We start from the raw sequence: 23,046 nt of genomic DNA on the forward strand, positions 1-23,046 counted from the left end.
GGAGGTTGCAGTGAGCTGAGATTGCGCCATTGCACTCCAGCCAGACTATGACTATAGTCCTAGCTACTTGGGAGGCTGAGGTGGGAAAATGGCTACAGCCCGGGAGGTAGAGGCTGCAGTGAGCCATGATTGTTCCACTGCTCTCCAGCCTTGGTAACAGAGCAAGACCCTACCCTGTCAAAAAAAAAAAAAAAGGTTATTTACATATCTTAAAATTATCTTCTAAAACATTTGTTTTTTTTTTTTTTTTTTTTTTTTTTTTTTTTTTTTTTGAAACAAACACTCTCTCTGTTACCCAGGCTGTAGTGCAGTGGTGTGATCTCAGCTCACTGCAACCTCCGCCTCCTGGGGTCAAGCAATTCTCCTGCCTCAGCCTCCTGAGTAGCTGGGATTACAGGCATGTGCCACTACGTCTGGCTAATTTTTGTATTTTTAGTAGTGACAGAGTTTCACCGTGTTAGCCAGGATGGTCTCGATCTCCTGACCTTGTGATCCGCCGTCTTGGCCTCCCAAAGTGCTGGGATTACAGGTGTGAGCCACCGCGACCAGCCTTCTTCATTCTTTTCACGGTTATATTTGACTCCATCATGTGTTATTCAATCCATTTCCTATGCTTGAATGTCCAAGCAACTTCCAATATTTTGCAACTATAAATAACGCTGACAAGTAATCATGTGCACCTGTAATTCGTATCACTGGAGGTGACTCTTTTTTTTCCTTCTTGAGATGGAGTTTCGCTGTTGTTGCCCAGGCTGGAGTGCAATGGCATGATCTCGGCTCACCGCAGCCTCCGCCTCCTGGGTTCAGGACCTCAGCATCCCGAGTAGCTGGGATTACAGGCATGCGACACCACGCCTGGCTAATTTTGTATTTTTAGTAGAGATGGGGTTTCTCCATGTTGGTCAGGCTGGTCTTGAACTGCCGACCTCGTGTTGGCCTCCCAAAGTGCTGGGATTACAGGCATGAGCCACAGCTCCCGGCCCAGTTTCCCTTTGTTGCCCAGGCTGGAATGTAGTGACATGATCTCAGCTCACTGCAACCTCTGCCTCCCAGGTTCAAGCAATTCTCATACCTCAGCCTCCTGAGTAGCTGGGAATACAGGCAACTGCCACCACACCTGGCTCATTTTTTGTATTTTAGTTGAGACAGGGTTTCACTATGTTGCCCAAGCTGGTCTCGAACTCCTGAGCTCAGGCAATCCGCCCATCTGGGCCTGCCAAAGTGCTAGGATTACAGACGTGGGCCACTGCATGCGGCCTGGAGGTGACTCTTAAGGGATAAATTCTTATTTATCCCTGCGCTTGCTTGCTGTGTCAACAGGTATGTGTATATATAATTTAATTAAATACTGCCAACTTCCCTCTATAGGACTTAAAACATTTTGCATTCCCACCAACAATGTATGAAAATGCCTGTTTCTCCACAGTCTTATCCGTAGAGAGTACGGTTAAGCTTTTAAGTTTTTGACAATCTGATGGGTGAGAAATGGTATCTCAGTGTAGTTGTAATTTACGTTTCTCTTACCATGAGTGAAGTTGAACGAACATCTTTTCATATGTTTATACATCTTTTGGTAAAGAGTCTGTGCATGACTTTTGCCCACTTTTCTATAGGATTTCTAATCTTTTCCCCTCAATTTTTAAAACATTTACAAAGTAAGGATTAACCCCTTTTTTTTTCTTTTTTTTTGGAGACGGAGTTTCACTCTTGTTGCCCAGGCTGGAGTGCAATGGCACGACCTGAGCTCACTGCAACCTCCGCCTCCCTGGTTCAAGCAATTCTCCTGCCTCGGACTCCCGAGTAGCTGGGATTACAGATGTGGACCATCACGCCTGGCTGATTTTCGTATTTTTTGTAAAGATAGGGTTTCACCATGTTTGTCAGGCAAGTCTCAAATTCCTGACCTCAGGTGATCCGCCCTCCTCAGCCTCCCAAAGTGCTGGGATTACAGGCGTGAGCCACCATGCCCGGCCTCAGGATTAACCCTTTATCAGTGAAGTATGGTGATTTACATGTTGATAAAGATTTTTTGTAGTCATTTGTCTTTTGATGTTACGGTACACTTTGTCCATGCAAACGTTTTTTGGTATTTGTAGACATTATTTATTAATCCTTTACTGGCTCTGGATTTAGAATTAGAAAGCCTCTCCCTATACCAGGTTAAAGATTATTTCATCCAAGTTTTCTTCTAGCATGTTTCTAGTATCTAGCATGTTTCTTCTAGCAATGTGAAAAAATAAAATTTCTTCACCTAAGTAACTTATCTCAGACTTAATTCTAGAATGTCTTCACTACCCCATTTATAAAATGGATATAATGACAACTGTCCAAACTGGTTTTCAGTATTACCAGAGAGATCAAATGAAAACACAAGCACAACTGCTTTGTAATAGTTAAGAAGTGCTCTGCAAATATAATTTACATGTGACTCAAAACAAGCAGTCAGGAGGTGAAGGGCCAAGTCACTCACCATGGGCTGATCCTCATCAGTGGGATTGGGAAGCAGGTAAAGAATACAGTGCCGAGGAGAAAGGGCTTCCTCCCCCACACATCAGACAGGGCACCAATGAGTGGGGCACTCAAAAAAGAGAGCAGGCCCTGGAGAAGAAACCAAAGCAAAGGTTAGTTTTATAATCTGATCCCTCAATTACCTGTAATTCATATTTTCTAAATGCATTAGCTCTAATTCATTGTACTGCCCCCAAAACAGAATAATACTTTGAAACATTAAATACAAACTACAACTAAAAAAATAAAATTAGGCCTGGCGTGGTGGCTCATGCCTGTAATCCCAGCACTTTGGAAGGCCAAGGTGGGTGGATCACTTGAGGTCAGGAGTTCAAGACCAGTCTGGCCAACATGGTGAAACCTCGTCTCTACTAAAAATACAAAATTACAAAAAATTAGCCGGGCGTGGCGGCAGACGCCTGTAATCCCAGCTACTCAGGTGGCTGAGGCAGGAGAATCACTTGAACCCGAGAGGCAGAGGCTGCAGTGAACCAAGATCACGCCTTTGTACTCTAGGCTGGGCAACAAGAGCAAAACTGTTGTCTAATTAAAATAAAATCTAAAATAAAATTATAACCAAAAATGTAAATGTTCTATCAGAAAGGGAAGGAAGAAGTAAAAAAGCTTGTTTTCCAGAAGAAATTAGAAAAGAGCGATGACATGATATATATATACCCACATTTGACCCTTAAGACGAACACACACCAAGCATACGGGAAGAAGCTAGAAATTTGAATCACTTTAATAAATATATATGGCATATCAATTCTGCACAAAACTGCATTAACTGGTACAATGACACCCAAATGAATGTACACCATATACTATCCCCAGGGCCTCACAGGGATAAAGAAGAGGAGTGTACATATGCTTAATGATCAAAAGAAAACTAGATTCTTTGTCAACTTTGTCAAAGTAAAGTTCTGCCTGATGAGTTTAGGAAGAAGGAGATAATCCAACCTGAACAACAACTACAGTTGAAACTAAGGGGAAGAGAATCTGACATAGATAACACCACACAGAAGCAAAGGAAGTCAAGGAACTCACATTCACTGCTTGCCCACTATTTGCCAGTCACTCTGTTGGCTGGCCACCTTCATTTCAATGCTACAGATAAGCAGCAGGGTGGGGAGAGCAGGGATGGACAAGAGTAGAAAAATGCTGATGAATAATGAAATAGGTGATGAGTACACAGGTATTCATCACACTATTCTTTTGTGTATCTGAATTTTCATGATACATCTTAAAAATTCCTCAGCACATCACATAAATAGGACACTCCAAAACCCGGCTCCTGACACACATCCTCTGCTGTGGCTGCATGCGATACTTCCAGTTTTCTGGACATACAATGTTCCTGCGTGCCAACAGGCCTTTGCACGCACATCCATCCCACACTTGGAGCCTGGAAACTGCTAGTGATTCTTCCCAACCCTGGGAGAGAAGCACCTCCTCCTCTATCTAGTCTCTTAGCTCTTCTATTATAATTTCAGCACTCCATTAAATCACTTGTTATTTGTCTACCTTCTCTGCTGGATTCGAAATTGAGAATAAGGTCAGAAGGATGACATTTCTTCTTATCTCTGTACCCGTGGTGCCTATCACAGGGCCTGGTAAACACTGGTTTTCAAATACGTTTGGTGAATTGAATAGAACTTTTCAGAGAAAATCAACTTACAGAAGTCTCCAAGTTCACATAATTGGAAAGAAAAAGGAACAGATTCCAATCCCCTATCAGCCACCAACTGATTAACCCAGGACAGCAGACATAGGTAAACTGATAAGAGGAGGGACTCAAAGTGAAGCAGCTTCATTGTCTGGGGAAATACCTGCAGTTCATCATCTTGCACCAAGAAGATTAAGGACATGGGCACACATGGGTGGGTGAAGGAGGGGAAAGTTTAATAGGCAAATGAAAGAAGAGAGCTTCCTCGTACAAAAGAATGATTATTATTAATACTTTATATAAAAGAAGCTGTGGGTAAGTTTAGCTTCAGGCATAGCTAGATGGACACAGGGAAGGACTTGTTCATATAGTGTCATCTGGGTTCTCTCACCAATTCTTAGTAAGGTGTCTCAATGTAGTAAGCAGGACAGTTTTTGCAATCGTAGGCTTACTACAAGTTAAGTAACCCCAGTAGACTGAGAAAATCGCAATACCTCTAGCAGAAAATTCCTCTGGAGAAATATCACTGATCTAGTTTGGATCATTTGCCCATTGTCCATGCAACTAGTTTAAATCTCTACACAGCCAACCCTCTGTATATGGAGGCTCCGTATCTGTAGATTCATCCATCATGGATGAAAAATATTTGGAAGAAAACAATTAAAAATAAGAACACAACAATAAAAAATACAAATTAAAAAATACAGTTTAACAACTATTTACACAGTATTAGGTATTATAAGTCATCTAGAGATGAATTAAGAGTATAAGAAGACTGAGAATGAGTGGCCTAACAGGTAGAAAGAAAACTATGCTAGGTCAAGTGAAGAAAGCAAGTAAAGAAAGCCTTTTAAGAATGAAAAAGGGGCCAGGCATGGTGGCTCACGCCTGTAATCCCAGCACGCTGGGAGGTTGAGGCGGGCGGATCACCTGAGGTCAGGAGTTCAAGACCAGCCTGGCCATGGTGAAACCCCGTCTCTACTAAAAATACAAAATTAGCCGGGCATGGTGGTGCGCACCTCTAATCCCAGCTACTCGGGAGGCTAAGGCAGGAGAATCGCTTGAACCCAGGAGGCGGAGGTTGCAGTGAGCTGAGATCGTGCCATTGCACTCCAGCCTGGGCAACAAGAGCAAAACTCCATCTCAAAAAAAAAAAAAAAAAAAAAAAAAAAAAAAAAAAAAAAAGAAGGAAAAAGGTTCGGAATAATTCTGGTGGAAAAGTGAGTGTGGAAGTCTACTTGTAATGAATGTAAGATAGCATGGCAAAGAAAGAAATGGGGTAGTAGCCTGAGGAGAAAAGGAAAAGAGGTTTTGTTTTTAGATTGGAGAACTAGAATGCTTGTATGCTGGTAGGAATAATTTAGAGGGAAAGTTTAAAATACTGGGGAAAAAAGGCATAACTGCTGAATTCTTGAGAATGGATGAGATATGTGAAGAAGCTGGCTTTAGCAAGGAACAAGGACAGTTCATCCTTAGAAACAGGAGAGGAAGTAGAGTATATGAGAACAGATACATGTAGGTGGATAGTAGATGTGGTGATGGGAGACTGAAATTTCTCTTTGCATTGCTTCTATTTATTTAGTGACACAGTTAAGGTCATTAGATGGTGGAAAAGGTATTGCCTACAGACAGAGTAGCTGGAGAATTAAATTTTCAAGCGTTGGGGTTTAGCCAACCAAGTGTGACAGAGTAAAAAGAGGGCATGCTTTATATGCAAAGCAGTAATTATAATGATTGACCACAGAATTTAAGCCAAGAAAGATGCAAGTGAGGATACAGGGGTAGGGGTGACAGTGAAAGGCAGGTAGGATGGGTTTTCAGTGCTGATATACTGAGCTGTAGTAAAAAATAGAGTAAGCTAGAATGGTAAGGAGGTAGTGGTTGAATACTAGGATATATAGAGAAACAATATGTATAATGGTTAGAGTTTGGATGCTGGAAGCAATACTTTTTGGGATAAAATTCTGGTTTGAGCAATTGCAGCTGTGAAACAATGGGCAAATTATCTTTCTCTCTCAATTTACTTACCTATGAAAGGGAATAATGAGTACCTATCCCTTAGAAAGTTTGCCATTATTAATACTGTGTAATGGTTAGAGTTATTGTAAGTGAATGGCTAACAGGGTGGAGTGAAATAGATCAAGGAACTGAAAGACCACTATTATTGGAAGGATAATCTGTGTGGATACTGAAACCACCAAGAAATAAGACAGGTCTTTGCCAGACACAGTGGCTCACGCCTGTAATCCCAGCACTTTGGGAGGCCGAGGTGGGAGGATCACGAGGTCAAGAGTTTGAGACCAGCCTGGCCAACATGGTGAAACCCCGTCTCTACTAAAAATACAAAAATTAGCCAGGTGTGGTGGTGTGTGCCTGTAATCTCAGCTACTTGGGAGTCTGAGGCAGGAGAATCACTTGAACCCGGACAGCGGGGAGTTGCAGCAAGCCGAGATCGCACCACTGCACCCCAGCCTAGGCGACAGGGTGGGACTCCGTCTCAAAAAAAAAAAAAAGACAAGTCTTGAATATTGCTAAAATTTCCTATTCAGCCACTGGTAGGATTATATTGTTGCACATTAGTGGTAAACACAAATTACCTAAATTTGGTCATAATAGTTGTTAAAAACAAAATTTTTAAAGTATTGATTTTAAAACTATTTAAGTTTAATGTAGAATATTTTTTGCCAAATTTAAAATTTTACCCTAATTGTTATTTCACAATTTTTTCTTTTATATTTGTAGAATATACTTCAACAACAGCAACAAAAGGTTTCTCAACAATCTAGAATTGTTCAGAGTGAGACTGAAAAGTTGTATTAGCAGTTCATAAAGGTCTGTTGTATGTGGCAACACAATACATTGTTATAAAGCATAATGTATTTATGGAAGTAGAAGGTAGTTCTTTCCAAGTTTATGAGAAAAAACATTTCAGATTTTTAACTACTTTCCATTTTGAATTCATTGTTTCTTTCCAAGTTTATGAGAAAAAACATTTCAGATTTTTAACTACTTTCCATTCTGAATTCGTTGTTTCTGATGTAAGTAATAAATGTATTTTTACTTTAGGATTCTAATGGTTTTGTGAGGATTATTCCAAACTAAAGAGTGGCAAATTGGGAATTTTATTTAGAGATGTACTTATGCATAAACTCTGTATGCTACTAATACTTTAGTCATAGTTCTCTGTTTTAACTGGAAACAGAAAGTCTGTAAATCATGTCCAGGTTGTGTTTCACTTGTTTATGTATCCAGTGTTTGTTAAATAATAAAAAGTACCCAAATGGGAGGATGTCTCTGGCACACCCAGCTAATTTTGCATTTTTAGTAAAGACAGGGTTTCTCGATGTTGGTCAGGCTGGTCTCAAACTCCCAACCTCAGGTGATCCGCCCACCTCGGCCTCCCAAAGTGCTGGGATTACAGGCATGAGCCACCGTGCCCGACCTACCCTGACTTTTTTTTTACGCAATGTGTCCTTCTGAACACTGTAGACCAAGCCCCAGAAGCTGCACCTGTGGGAAAGGCTGTATTTGTTATCTGTAGTCAGTCCAGGGGGATCCGAGGGCCACAGTGGCTGCCAGTGTGGGACAGAGCGAGGGGGCAAGCCCAGAGTGTTCAGCCATGGCTGAGCTGCACACCAGCACCATGGTAGCCATCCCACCAATATGCCACATGGCCTGGCCTGCCCGGCAAGCTGCTCAGTGGCCCTGCGCATTGTGTACCGTCTCAAGGGCTGCAGGAAGGCCAAGTTACTGGCTGTATGAGAGTAGTACCCCAGGAGCTCCTCAAAGACCTAGTGCCAGGACGAGTGTCCCTGGTGATGGAACGTTCAGAGGAGCTCAACAACGACCTAAACCCCTTTACTCCTCTTACAAGGTATCCGGATTCCTGATTATGCCTTTATGCAAGACTTGGCCAAGATGTATGAGCATCCTCTTGCTCTCACTAGTGCCAACCTCAGCTCCCAGGACAGTTCTCTGAATGCCATGGAGTTATAAGACCTCTGGCCTCAGTTGTCCTTGGTCATTGATGGGGGACAAGCTAGGGATAGCCAGATCCCTGAGTGTTACCTTGGCTCAACTGTGGTTGACTTATCTGTGCATAGAAAGTTTGGCATCATTCGTCCAGGCTGTGTCCTGGAAAGTACTACAGCCTTTCTTCAACAGAGGTATGGGTTGCACCCCTCATGTGCATCCTACTTGTGAAACTCAGGAAGCAGGAAGGCCCATGGCCTGGTGCTGGACACTCTGTGTCCGTCCACTGATAATTGCCAAGCCCTCATTTGCAGAAGCCACTGGAGCTCCTGCAGTAGTCTGACTTTTTTTCTTTTTTCTGAGACAGAGTTTCGTTCTTGTTGCCCAGGCTGGAGTGCAATGGCACGATCTCGGCTCACTGCAACCTCCGTCTCCCAGGTTCAAGCAATTCTCCTGCCTCAGCCTCCCAAGTAGCTGGGGTTACAGGCATGCACCACCACAACCGGCTAATTTTGCATTTTTAGTAGAGACAGGGTTTCTCCATGTTGGTCAGGCTGGTCTCAAACTCCCAACCTCAGGTGATCAGCCCACCTCGGCCTCCCAAAGTGCTGGGATTACAGGCATGAGCCACTGCGTCTGACCTAGCCTGACTTTTTTTTAATGCAATGTGTCTTTCTGAACACTGTAGACCAATCCCCAGAAGCTGCACCTGTGGGAAAGGCTATATTTAATATTTGTAGTCTCATATATCAGCCAAAAGCTGAACGGAGAGATTAACAACATTCCTAGGTGGCATTATTCTAATAAGTTTATTTTTTTAATTGAAAAGTAATTTAAATAGCAGATGTAGAATCTAATGAGAGCCTCCTCTCTGCTGGGTGGTAGCATTCAAAATGGTTCAGACCAGCTACAAGTGCCAACGCTGTTTAAAAAGTCTCAGGTGACCAAAGGCATGGGTTGGCCTCCTGAAGCTGGAACCAGGTAGAGCCACGGGCCAAACACTCTCTCCTCTGAACCAGTGGAGCTAGTGGTATCAAATACTGTAATTGCTGGTGGGGAGAGCAGTCATTTTGATCTAACGCTGGGACGTCGGCTCAGTTGGTGGGGGTGGTCCAAATTAAAGAATATTGAGAAATAAATCTCCACTATCCTTTTCAGCCAGGGACTTTTTTCTTATTTATTCATAAATTAAGTTGTAGTTATACCTATAACACTTTTATCTAAGTCCAGTGTTCTCAGTAGCCTTTGGTCTATTTATGTGTACTAAGTGTTCAACATAATTACTGTTGGGCATTTGAACTCGGCTTTAGTAAAAAGACATACAGCTATAAAAAAAAAAGTACCCAAATGATAAAAAATAAATAAAATGCCGTTTTACATATAAATATCCTCAAATTATTTTTGAAAACAGGCAAATAATAAATATGATTTATTAATATTTAACATTATTTATTATATGAATGTTTTTTAAGAGCTATGAAAATAACGAATTACAATGGCTAAATTCAGCACATTACTAGGGCATAATTTTTTTTTTTTTTTTTGAGACGGAGTCTCGCTCCGTCGCCCAGGCTGGAGTGCAGTGGCGCAATCTCAGCTCACTGCAACCTCCATCTCCCAGGTTCAAGTGATTCTCTTTCCTCAGCCTCCCCAGTAGCTGGGACTACAGGGGACTGCCACCACGCCCAGCTAATTTTTTGTATTTTTGGTAGAGATGGGGTTTCACCATGTTAAGCCAGGATGGTCTCGATCTCCTGATCTCGTGATCCGCCTGCCTTGGCCTCCCAAAGTGCTGGGATTACAGGCGTGAGCCACCGCATGCAGCCTTGGGAATAATTTTAAGTATGTTGTTCAGTACAATGTATAATTATGCATAGATTGACATTATCTAAACTGGAAAGCACAAATTAGACCCTATACTCATATGCTTTACTATAAGAGACTAAAAAATACTATTATACTTTAAACCCCTATTTAACTCTTTTCCTATTTAGAGAAAACAAGTGCAGCTCACTGCCAGCATTCATATGATTTTACATACACACACTCTTTGAGGCTGAAGCAAATATGATTGATTTTTCAATGTGAAAATAAAATATAAAAAGTGTTCTTGGAGTTATTTCTAAACAGAACTAACATCAGAATCACCTGAATCATCAGAATTGTCTATTTCAAAAAACTGGATTCATCAAATGAATCTTCAGCCGGTAACTGTTCGAGAACAATGTTAACATCACAGGTAGAAGTGCTGCGTTTTCTAGGATTTGACATTTTCAGTGATAGAGTGTTACTATAGTTTGTAACTGGAAACACCACTACTAAAAACAGAATACAGGCCAGGCGCAGTGGCTCATGCCTGTGATTGCAAGACTGTGGGAGGCCAAGGCGGGCAGATCACTTGAGGTCAGCAGTTCGAGACCAGCCTGGCCAACATGGTGAAACCCCATCTCTACTAAAATTACAAAAATGAGCTGAGCGTAGTGGTGGGCACCTGAAATCCCAGCTACTCAGAAAACTAAGGCAGGAGAATCGCTCGAACCCGGGAGATGGAGGTTGCAGTAGGCTGAGATCGCACCACTGCACTCCAGCCTGGGCAACAGAGTGAGACTCCATCTCAAAAAAAAAAAAATTATTTAAAAGAATGAGGAACAGTCAGGCGCGGTGGTTCACGCCTGTAATCCCAGCACTTTGGGAGGCCAAGGCAGGCAGATCACGAGGTCAAGAGATCGAGACCATCCTGACCAACATGGTGAAATCCTGTCTCTACTAAAAATACAAAAATCAGTTGGGCGTGGTGGTGCATGCCTGTAGTCCCAGCTACTGGGGAGGCTGAGGCAGGAGAATTGCTTGAACCCAGGAGGCGGATGCTGCAGTGAGCCGAGATCTCACCACACTGCACTCCAGCCTGGTGACAGAGCGAGACTCCATCTCAAAAAAAATAAATAAATAAATAAAGAATGAGGAAAAAGAATGCTATCAATAGAATGATGTCTTTTGTTTCCAAAGTCTATATACTAAAGCAATGCAAAAATAATAATAAAAGCAACATGTTTTGTGGCAAAGTTATCTTGGAGTAAATGCAGCACCGCTGGTGAGTATTCTCGGTGCAAACAGGAAAACGGTTTAAAGCCGTTTTTATATATATCATATTAAAATCGACATAATGAATTAAGACTAATTAAATCAAGTGGCTGAGTTATTACAAAGCCATGGCCAGTGTTACCAGCTTGGCTTCCTTCTTCCTCAGATATACTTCTTTTTAGTACACCTAAAAAGAAGATGGTAGCAATTGCCCACTTTATTCTGTTGATAGGCAGAGAAGTTAAAAGTTACATAATAATTAAGCCCTTTTGTGTACACAATAATAAAAATGAAGTTAGGCCTATAGAGTATTCACACTGCTATTTGCCAGTAAACCATTCTATGCCTTATGTATTTGTGTAGTATTTTAAAGTGACTTTTAATAACCCAGCTAAAAATTTAGATTTCAGTCTCCAGAACAAATAGTATTTGTTTCCCAAAGTCCCACTAAAACTTCCAGAGTTAAACTACCAAGGATTCCTGACTTTGGTTCATTACAAACCACATAAAAATTTTTTCTTACCTTTACACCTTGAATGAGACCATTCATGAGGAATGTGTGTTGAGAAAATGTTTCATGTAGAACCTACAAAAAGCAAACAAACATCAAGACAAATTCAAATTTCAGTTAAAGGAAAAATTTTCTGCCTCTCTTAATGGCATGCTACATAAATGAGCCCTGCAATGAAACATTATAAAATATCAATTAAAAAAAAATAAAAATAAACAAACTGTGGTACATCCAGACTATCACTAAAAAGAAATGAGCTACCAAGCCACTAAAAAACATGGAGGAACCTCAAATGCACATAGTTAAGTGAAACAAACCAATCTGAAAAGGCTACATATTGTATTGTATAATTCCAAGTATATGACATTCTGGAAAAGGTAAAACTATGGAAACGATAAAAAGATCAGTGGTGGCCAGGGACTGTGAAGGAGGGAGGGATGAATAGGCAGAGCACAGGGGATTTTTAGGGCAATGAAAATGCTTTGTATGATACTATGATGGTGGATACATGCATTATATATTTATCAAAACTCAGCATATAGAATACCAAGAGTGAAACCTAAACTACAGAATTTGGGTGATAACAGTATGTCAATGTAAGTTCATCAAATAAAACAAATGTACCCCTTTAGAAAGGAATGTCCATAGTAAAAAAATAAAAAGGGGGGGGGTATGCATATGTAGGGGAAGGGATACAGGGGAAATCTCTGTACCTTCCTCTCAATTTTGCTGTGAACCTTAAATGACTCTTTAAAAAATTAAGTCTTTAAAAAACGGAAATTAAAATCTACTCACAAATTATTTCCAACCTTTCCTCTAACAACATTATTTTTAAGGTTTAGAAAAAGTTTGTCATCTCAGCTACTGACATTTGAACTCTACTTGCCTGTACTGAAGAAAAAGAAAAGCAAATGAAGGACACCAAATATTTCAAGTGAAATACCAAAGTTATAAGAAAAAATCTTCCAAAAATAATAAATGTAAGTCACAGAGATACAGAAATTTTCTTTAAAGAATATAAAGACTAGAACTGTTGAATAACTTGATTTGTCACATGCATCACAAAAACATGGTAAAATGCAAAACAAAAACGTATTTTTAAAAAATGCTTATCGGATCATGTCAACTTTTTTTTTCTTTTGGAGATGGAGTCTCACTCTGTCGCCCAGGCTGGAGTGCAGTGGTGCAATCTCAGCTCACTGCAACCCCCGCCTCTCAGGTTCAAGCGATTCTCCTGCCTCATCCTCCCGAGTAGCTGGGACTACAGGAACCTGCCACCACGCCCAGCTAATTTTTGTATTTTTGGTAGAGGTGGAGTTTCACCATATTGGCCAGGCTGGTCTTGAACTCCTGACCTTGTGATCCATCCACCTTGGCCTCCCAAAGTGTTGGGATTACAGGCGTGAGCCACCGCTCCCGGCCTGATCATGTCCATTATTAACCCATTGTCTCTCAGTCCCACATTCTCCCTTCTATACTCTATCAGATCAGAGATAAGAGACTATGGACATTCCTCTGACTCCCTTTCCCGACAGGCTTCCTCTTAGTTTCTTTCAGTGGGAAATACAGGGTGGAGTGAGTGCTGGTCAACACTGCACCAACACCTCCAGGGTTCTCTCATGCTGTCAAAGGAGCAGCAGTGCTGATCCTTCCCTGCCCCCACCTCAAACCTCACCCTCTCGACCTCAGACCACTGCTAGAATTCTACATGGAAAATGATGCAAACCTGCATTCCCTTTGTACAGGTGATGCAGTTTAGGAATAAGAGATCATCATTTTAATTTGGCAAAACCGTATCTATGGATGAATGACAAAATACATACTTAATGAGTTGCACACTAAATAGATCTCATGTAATTTCTGACCACATGGGCCCATTTCTGAGCAATCAAGCTACCATGCAGGCAATTCCTCTAAAAATGTTCAATCCATGCTTTTAAAAACTTTTCTACTGTTTTCTACCCACCCTCCCCCAAAAAAGGAAACAGTGAAATCTTACTAAAGAAAAAAGTAAAACAAGTCAGTAATAATTTTAAAAGGCTAACCTTCATAAAATAAAGCAGTTGTAAATAAAACAGATATATTCTACTCAGGCTTATGATAAAGTTTAAAAACCAAAATAAAGTCTGTAAATAATTTAGCTACAAAAGGCAACAAATGTTATCAGAATAAAGTAAACCTAATAATAAAAGGTGTATTAAATATCTCAGAGAAGATCAAAGCTTTCATTTTTAACATCTCTATATGAAAAAAAACTCAAGCTTAGCCAGGCACAGTGGCATACACCTGTAATCCTAGCTACTGAGGAAGCTGAAGTGGGAAGATTGCCTTGAGCCCGGAAGATCAAGTCTACAGTGAGCTATGATTGCACCACTGCACTCTAGCCTGGGCAACAGAGCAAGACCTTGTATCTATCTATCTATGTAAATAAATAAATAAAAATAACTCAAGGAAAATATCCCCTTTAAGTATTCTTGAGAAGGACTACAGTAAACATAAAATAAAATGGCGTTTTCCTGAAAAAAATAGGAAACATTTTACAAGAAAAAAAATGACACTTGCTTATCACTTTTAAAACAGTAACTATAAAGTTTTAAGAAATGAACTGTCTTCCAGTACAACAAAGCTTAGAAATATCTACATGTAATAAACATACACAGAGCTGTGTTTCTCCACTTGCACAGATATAACAGAAAAAACATGAAATTAAATTTACAGCATTCCTAGAAAGCCAAGAATCATAAGGCGCTTCTGGATGATACAGAACAGATGAGAAAAGACTGACAACAAAAAAAGAGCTGAAGAAAAGTAGCACTTGAAGGTGAAATAGAAGACCTTGAAGAAGTTCATTTTCCAGAACCCAGAAAGAAACCTCCCAAATCAGAGGAGTAGGAAAAAATAGCCATAAATGAAAGGGTACTAAAAGGTCACAAAGTAAGCTCCCTGGTGTCTTCCTCTCAAAGCTGCTGACCTACAGATATGGCACCAGGATAACAATCACAAGCATAGTTCTCTGAAAACTGTGGGACTTCTAAGTGGGATACTTGCAGGATTGAATGGAATGAGATTCAAAAAGGACGGTGCCCCAGATCTCTTATGGCTGCCAAAAGTGCACAAAGTCCTATGACCACATAATCCTATAGAGTACTTCAGTACTCTAGAATATCCACACTTTCACAGAGCAAGAGTGCCTATAACCAGTCCCTGCATTAAATTTTAGGGAATAAGGCTTTCCACCTGGGCTGAAGAACTACACTCTAGTAACCACAGGTATCTAGACTACAGGTGGAAAACTGGCTACAGCCTGACTGTAAACTTGAAACAGCCTTTGCAAAATTATGACTGAGACAGTGAAAGATCTAACTTAACCGACTCCATCTTACTTCTAACCTCCAAGCTGTCCTTGCTCATTCCTGGGCATAGCATGAACTTTGGGAGAAACTTAGTTTATAGTTTTTTAAAACAAAGACAGTAATAGCCCTTTCCCAAAGCAGACCTCCTTCTTGCCTGGAGACTAGACTGCCTTTGTAGGACCAACATTAGCCACAAGATTAGAAATTATGGTTTACGAATCAGGTAGCTAGAGGCTACAGGATTCTGACCCTCCCCAAACTGCTCCTAATATCACTGCTTGAGATATTTTGCAGACCCTGCACGTAATGGATCAGCTGGCACCACCCAGATCGATAAACTGGCTCATCTGATCTTGTGGCCCCAACTCAAGAACTGACTCAACTCAAGAAGACAGCTTCAACGCCCCATGATTTCATCCATGACCAATTCTGTAGTGTGGCTCATTTTCCTCAAGATTGCCTTAGTCTAAGCCTTTTTTATGTCTCCATATATTTTATAATCAGCTCTTCAATAGCCACAAAATAACTTGCGAAGAATTTTGATTATGATTGCATTGACCACAGAATAATTGGGAAAGAACAGACATACTGTCTTTTTGTTGTTGTTTGATTCAAAGTCTCACTCTGTCACCAGGCTCAGGTGCAGTGGCACGATCTCGGCTCACCACAACCTCCACCTCCCGGGTTCAAGCGATTCTCCTGCCTCAGCCTCCCGAGTAGCTGGGATTACAGGAGTGAGTCACCATGCCTGGTTAATTTAGTAGAGATGGGGTTTCGCCGAGGTTGATCTTGAACAAAATAGGGAAACAGATGTCATTAGACAAATACCACAGTAAAAACTGTTGCAGACAAGCATTTATGGATGCTAAAATTAGTAGGACAACAGAAAAGGAACAAGATATCTGGATAGTCTCAAAGTATTTCTCCACAACATACTCACTTGAGACCAGGAGTTCAAGACCAGCCTCGCTGAAACCCCGTATTTATTATTTAAAAAAAAAAAAAAAAAGCCAGTTGTGGTGGCACACGCCTGTAGTCCCAGCTACTCAGGAGGTCGGGGCAGGAGAATCACTTGAACCCAGGAGGCAGAGGTTGCAGTGAGCTGAGATCTAGCCACTGCACCCCAGCCTGGGCAACAGAGTGAGACTCTCAATCAAAGAATAAAAAAAAAAAAAAAAAAAAAGCAGAAAACAATATGTCCATTCTTCCACAATCAATCTATAGTCAATGCAATCATAATCAAAATTCTTAGCAGATTATTTTGTGGGTATTGAAGAGCTGATTATAAAATATATATATACAGACATAAAAAAGGCTTAGACCAAGGCAATCTTGAGGAAAATGAACCACACTAAGGAATTTATACAAGATATTATGGCTGGGCACAGTGGCTCACACCTGCAATCCCAGCACTTTGGGAAACTGAGGCAGGCAGATAACCTGAGGTCAGGAGTTCGAGACCAGCCTGGCCAACATGGTGAAACCCAGTATCTACTAAAAATACAAAAATTAGCCAGGCATGGTGGTGCATGCCTGTTATTCCAGCTACTCAGGAGGCTAAAGCAGGAGAATCACTTGAACCCAGAAGGCAGAGGTTGCAGTGAGCCGAGATCGCACCACTGCACTCCAGCCTGGGTGATAGAGTGAGACTCCATTGCTCCCCCCCCGGCCAAAAAAAACATATTACTATAGAAGTTAACACAGGATGGTGTTGGCACAAGGAAATATAGCTCAACAGAATACTAAAAAATTTAGAAACAAACCCATATATGGACGGTTGTCTCATTTATGACAAAAGTGACACAGTACAGTGGGGAAAGAAGAATTTTTTCAATAAATGATGCTGGTTCAACTATATATTCTTCTGCAACCAAAGTGAATACTGACCCCCTACCAAACACAGTGATCTTTTTGGATGATAGGACTACATGAGAACAATAAACCAATTAAGGTTTGTGGTAGAAAAAGTTGTCTTAAACAGGATTTTTTAAAAACACTAACCATAAGCAAAAATAAATTCAACTACATAAAAACTTAAATTCAATTAAAATTAGTGTCATCCAAAGGCATTAAGAGAACAGAAAGGCCCTGGCATTGAAGAATTCAGGTGAAGATGCTGCCATTCTTGAACTCTGAAAGCCAAACTAGAATCTTCAGAGCAGCCTCAGTCTTAAAATTCAAGCTTCTTTTTCCTACTTTTTATTTCAGTGATATTTAGGACACTCTATATTTCATAAGAGTTATGATCTAACTGGCTCTATAAGCCCAAGTATAAAAATCCTTACCACCTAGCAAGAGACCCACAGAACTAGTCAGTAGTAAGACTGAGGTCACATATTGGAAAAAATATACTAGACCAGGGTTATACACAGGGACCATCCAGCGATAGAGATGTTGCTGGCAAGTAACCATAGTGGTGGGTGACCACTAGCGAAAAGGGCTGAAGAGACCTCAGAAGGTTATCCGGGTTATCTGGGTAGACCTGTGTCTTTTTCCATGCCCGAGGGTCACGACGTCACTATGCAGGGCACACGTGGCTTGGTTTAAAAAGGTCACCTTAATCTTAGCAAATGTAATAAATCATTTTTTAGATCCTGAAATTTATAATAAAAATACTTTACCTACCCTGAAAAAAAAAAAAAAAGAGAGAGAGAGAACAGAAAGGCAATCCCAGGCTGGGCATTCTGGCTCACATCTGTAATCCCAGCACTTTGGGAAGTCAAGGCAGGCAGATCACTTGAGGTCAGGAGTTCAAGATCAGCCTGCCCAACATGGTGAAACCCCATCTCTACTAAAAATACAAAAATTAGCCAGGCTTGGTGGCACGCGCCTGTATTCCAAACTACTTGGGAGGCTGAGGCAGGGGAACTGCTTGAACCCGGGAGGCAGAGGTTGCAGTGAACCGATATCGCACCACTGCACACTCCAGCCTAGGCAACAAGAGCAAGACTCCATCTCGAAAAAAAAAAAAAAAAAGGAAGAAAGACAATCCAAGAATAAGGAAAAGATATCAATAATAAGTATATGTGTGCGTATAGAGACGAACGTACACATGAAAAAAATTGTACCTAGAATATATAAAGAACTCCTACAAATAAGAAAAAGGGACACAACCCAATTTTTTAAAAACTGATGAAACACATGAACTGACACTTAACAAAAAGATATTCACACGGCCAATAAATATATGTTATACGTAAAGGGGGTTAACTTCATTGGTCGTTAGGAATATGCAAATTAAGACCATAATGTACCTACCAGAATTCAAATTGCTGGTGAAGACATGGAGTCTGCCTGGCTGAAGAGTAAATTGTTCACCCACTCTGGAAAACTTTTAGCACTACATAGTGATGCTGAACACAACCATGCAATTTTACTCCCAGATATATACTCCAAGAAACACGTATACATGTTCACCAAAAGATATATACAAGAAATATTACAACAGCAATATTTGTAATAGGCAAAAACCGGAAACCCAAATGTCCAACACCAGAATGGATTTGTGTCAATAGACTCCAGGACCATCTCTAAGTTCAGCAATTTGCTAAGAGGATTCCAGGACTCTGAAACTGTTATACTTACAGTTTATTACAGCAAAAGGACACAAAGCAAAATCAGCAAAGGCAAAAGGGACATCAGGCAAAGTCTGGAGGAAGCCAGGTGCATGCTTCTAAGAGTCCTCTCCCAGTGGAGTCACACATAAAGCATTTAATCCCTCCAGCAATAAACTGTAACAATGGCCAGGCACAGTGGCTCAAGCACTTTGGGAGTCCGAAGCGGGTGAATCACTTGAGGCCAGGAGTTTGAGACCAGTCTGGCCAACATGGCGAAACCCCATCTCTACTAAAAATACAAAAACTAGCCGGGACTCGGGAGGCTGAGGCAGGAGAATCACTTGAACCCAGGAGGCGGAGCTGCTGTGAGCCGAGATAGCGCAACTACACTCCAGCCTGGGCAACAGAGCCAGGCTCTGTCTCGGAGGAAAAGAAAAGAAAAAGAGAAACTATAACAACATTATGTGAAGTGTTGTCGGCTATGGAAGCTCACAAAAGCCTAGGAGTCCAGGGTTTTTCTTGGTGGGTGATCTTCAAGGCACACAATGAATGACCAGCTACCAAAGCTCTCTAGTTCACGAGAAGGAAAGGTGTTCACCATAAATAATGCTGTTTGCACAAACTGGAACAGTCAAGTTCAAAGATTCAATCACACAAAACGCAAAATATTCCAAGAGCTCAATTCTGGCCTGTCAAGGAACAGTCACAGAAAATGGTCCTCTTGGGAACATGAAAGACTTGAGCAACTTGGGCCTGCTGAATTAATCCTTTCCTGCCCAAGATAACAGAAAATCATATGTGGTTATGTAAGAATACACTATACAACAATGAAATGTTGCTACATACAACATGGATTACTCTCATAAACGTACTAAGCCAAAAAAGCCAGACAACAAAGAGTATACATTGTATGATTCCACTTATATAATATTAAACACACAAACACAAAGGCCAAACTGTCATATTAGAAATGTGACAAGGACAGAAATTACTTAGGATTGTTTCTGGGAGTGTAGCATAGTACTGGATATATAAGTGTACTTACTGTACAAAAATTCATCAAGCTGTGTATTTATCATTTGTACATCTTTCTGTACACATTATACTTCCATTAAAAGCTTACACAAAAAGGTATCTGGTTCCTATTTTATTTTAGCCATGAGGAAACTTTAGGAAAATATATCATTCTATAGAATCATATTTTCCTCAGATCAAACTCCTAACACAGCTCAAAATCCTATAATTTTATATTGCGAGGGTAGGAGAACAGCTTTCCTATTTTCTGGTTTTTAGGACAATCAGGGAAATACAGAAATTGAAAAGTGCATAAAGTATTGAGATATCAGCTAATCCACTGGTTTTTCTAACTATATTACTCAGAAATATTATAGGAACCCTCTAATGGTTTGATTTGAATTTCTTTCATTTATTTATTTTTTAATTTTAACTTTAATTTTTTTGAGACAGAGTCTCACTCTGCTGCCCAGGCTGGAGTGCAATGGCATGATATCGGCTCACCACAATCACTGCTTCCTGGGTTCAAGCGATTCTCCTTTCTCAGCCTCCCAAGTAGCTGGGACTACAGGCACATGCCACCATGCCTGGCTACTTTTTATATCTTTAGTAGAGACAGGGATTCACTATGTTGGCCAGGCTAATCTCGAACTCCTGACCTCGTGATCTGCCCACCTCAGCCTCCCAAAGTGCTGAGATTACAGGCGTGAGCCACCACGCCTGGCCTTGAATTTATTTAAAAAAAAAAAAAGTATTATAAACCCAGTATCTACAAGAAAAAAAAAATTGTCAGACTTCTCACATTTGACATGACAGTATAAAAAGATTAACAAATTATCTTTCAGTACAGCTGTATAAACCTATTTCAGTGCTCTGGAATTCAACCAAAGGCATAAAACAAACTGGGAGCATTTATTTATTAAGTTACTGAACTTCAGGCAGAAATGGTGGTTTTCAGTTTTGAGCTGCTACCAGACTCCTGCCCTTCCCCCAACGCCAGCTCTGTGGGTATTAGTTTAAGCAGGGCATGCTGCTGCCTGAGAGGACTCGTTGGATTTGGAGTGTTGTCAAGTTAACGGGGCAAACACGGAAGACTAGTGGCAGACTGGTGGATTAGGCCAGGGATGTAACAGGTAGTTGTAGGAGGTGAGACAGCCACAAGAAGCTTGAAAAGCTCTCCCCAAATTGGTTGACTCTAGACGATACACACACATATAAGAGACTGGAACACACTCAAGCCACTCATACATCCTTGGCCATCAGAAGCTGCACATACAGAGATTTCAAGAGAATCTGGCAGAGAGCAAAAGCCAGGGAAGAATTGAAAATGGCCTGAAGTAAGAATGCACTTCCAGCTCACATACAGATCCATTAGCAGAGAGCTGAAAGTTTACTGGCTCGAGGTGTTTAACTATAATCTCTTACCAATCTGACTGATCCCTAAATAATGGAGACAGAGAACCCAAGGAAGCCAAGCTTAAAAATAAAAATAAAAACTGAAAAGAGACATCAGCAGCTGCATACTGTAGAGACTTCACAGATTTAGTCCAAGCAAGTTACTAAACAAGCAAAACAAAAACAACCTTCAAGGTGAGAAAAAAATCAAAATCCATGGCCAAGTGTAGTGGCACATGCCTGTAATCCCAATGCTTTGGGAAGCTGAGGTGAGAAGACTGTCTGAGGCGAGGAGGAGTTCAAGACCAGCCTGGACAACATAGCAAGGCCCCATCCCTAAAATAAAAACAAAAGGCCGGGTGCAGTGGCTCACGCCAGTAATCCCAGCACTTTGGGAGGCTGAGGCGGGCGGATCACGAGGTCAGGAGATCGAGACCATCCTGGCTAACACGGTGAAACCCTGTCTCTACTAAAAATACAAAAAAAAAAAAAAAAAAGAGCCAGGCATGGTGGCGGGCGCCTATAATCCCAGCTACTCGGGAGGCTGAGGCAGGAGAATCGCTCGAATCCAGGAGGCGGAAGTTGCAGTGAGCCAAGATCGCGCCACTGCACTCCAGCCTGGGCAACAGAGAGAGACTGTCTCAAAAAAAAAAAGAAAAAGAAAAAAAAGTTAAAGCTTTAGCCAAGCGTGGTGGTGCACAACTGTAGTCTTAGCTACTCAGGAGGCTGAAGCAGGACAATTGCTTGAGCCCAGAAGTTTGAGGTTGCAGTGAGCTATTATTGTGCCACTATATTTCAGCCTAGGCAACAGGGCAAGACCCTGTCTCTTAAAAAAAAAAATCCAAAATTGCAAAACTATATTATCTAAATATACAGGTTTTAACAAAAAATGATTGCAATATGCAAAGAAACAAGAACATATAACTCACTCAGGTAAAAAAAGGGAGTCAACAGGAGGAGTCTCTGAGTGTTCCCAGATGTTGAATATTGCAGATGAAAACTTCAAAGCAGATACTATAAATATGTTCAAAGAACTAAACGAACCCATGTTTAAAGAATTAGAAGAGACCAGGTGTGGTGGCTCACACCTGTAATCCCAGCACTTTTGGAGACTGAGGCAAGAGGACTGCCTGAGCCCAGGAGTTTGAGACCAGCCTAGACAACATAGTGAGACCCCACTCGTAAAAAAAAAAAAAAAAAAAAGAATTAAAGGAAAGTATGGGACAGGTGTGGTGGCTTACGCCTATAATCTCAGCACTTTGGGAGGCCAGCCGAGGCAGGCAGATCACTTGAGGTGAGGAGTTCGAGACCAGCCTGGCCAATATGGTGAAACCCTGTCTCTACTAAAAATACAAAAATTAGTCGGACGTGGTGGCACACACCTATAGTCCCAGCTACTCGGGAGGCTGAGAATCGCCTGAAACCAGGAGGTGGAGGTTGCAGTGAGCCGAGATCATGCCACTGCACTCCAGCCTGAGTGACAGAGAAAGACTGCGTCTCCAAAAAAAAAAAAGTATGTGAATCACTCAGTGAATAGGAAATTTCAAATAGAATATAAAAATTATAAAAAAGAAATGTGGAAATGCTGCAGTTAAAAATTTGGTAATCAAAATCAACAATCCACTAAAGTGACAACACAGACAATTTAAGATGAACAAAGAAAGAAACAGTAACCTTGAAGACAAATAAATAGAAATTATTCAAACAAAAGCTTAGAAAACAATTGGCAAAAAAATAAAAATAAATAAACAGCTCCTCAGAGATGTATGAGACATTATCAAGTGTGAAACACTTACCTATGACCAGGCACGGTGGCTCATGCCTGTAATCCCAGCACTCTGGGAGGCCGAGGCGGGCGGATCAGGAGGTCAGGAGTTCGAGACCAGCCTGGCCAACATGGTGAAACCCCCTGTCTCTACTAAAAATACAAAAATTAGCCGGGCGTGGTGGCACACGCCTGTAATTCCAGCTACTCGGGAGACTGAGGCA

At 41.1% G+C, this 23,046-nt stretch overlaps 2 pseudogenes across 3 annotated transcripts in view; one reads left to right on the plus strand and one right to left on the minus strand.

Annotated features, from left to right (window-relative positions):
- Window positions 1-23,046, minus strand: part of SLC71A3P (solute carrier family 71 member 3, pseudogene) — a 70,693-nt pseudogene that overhangs the window by 4,172 nt on the left and 43,475 nt on the right. For all 3 annotated transcript variants that reach the window (NR_172875.1, NR_172876.1, NR_172874.1), the window contains exons 3-4: window positions 11,751-11,813; window positions 2,471-2,598 (exon numbers count right to left, since the gene is read on the minus strand). The product of NR_172875.1 is annotated as a solute carrier family 71 member 3, pseudogene, transcript variant 2 (transcript). The remainder of the gene's footprint in view (window positions 1-2,470; window positions 2,599-11,750; window positions 11,814-23,046) is intronic.
- YRDCP2 (yrdC N(6)-threonylcarbamoyltransferase domain containing pseudogene 2) lies at window positions 7,715-8,494 on the plus strand (annotated as a pseudogene).

The sequence above is a fragment of the Homo sapiens genome, chromosome 9 (genome assembly GCF_000001405.40).
Source record: "Homo sapiens chromosome 9, GRCh38.p14 Primary Assembly".
NCBI lineage: Eukaryota > Metazoa > Chordata > Mammalia > Primates > Hominidae > Homo > Homo sapiens.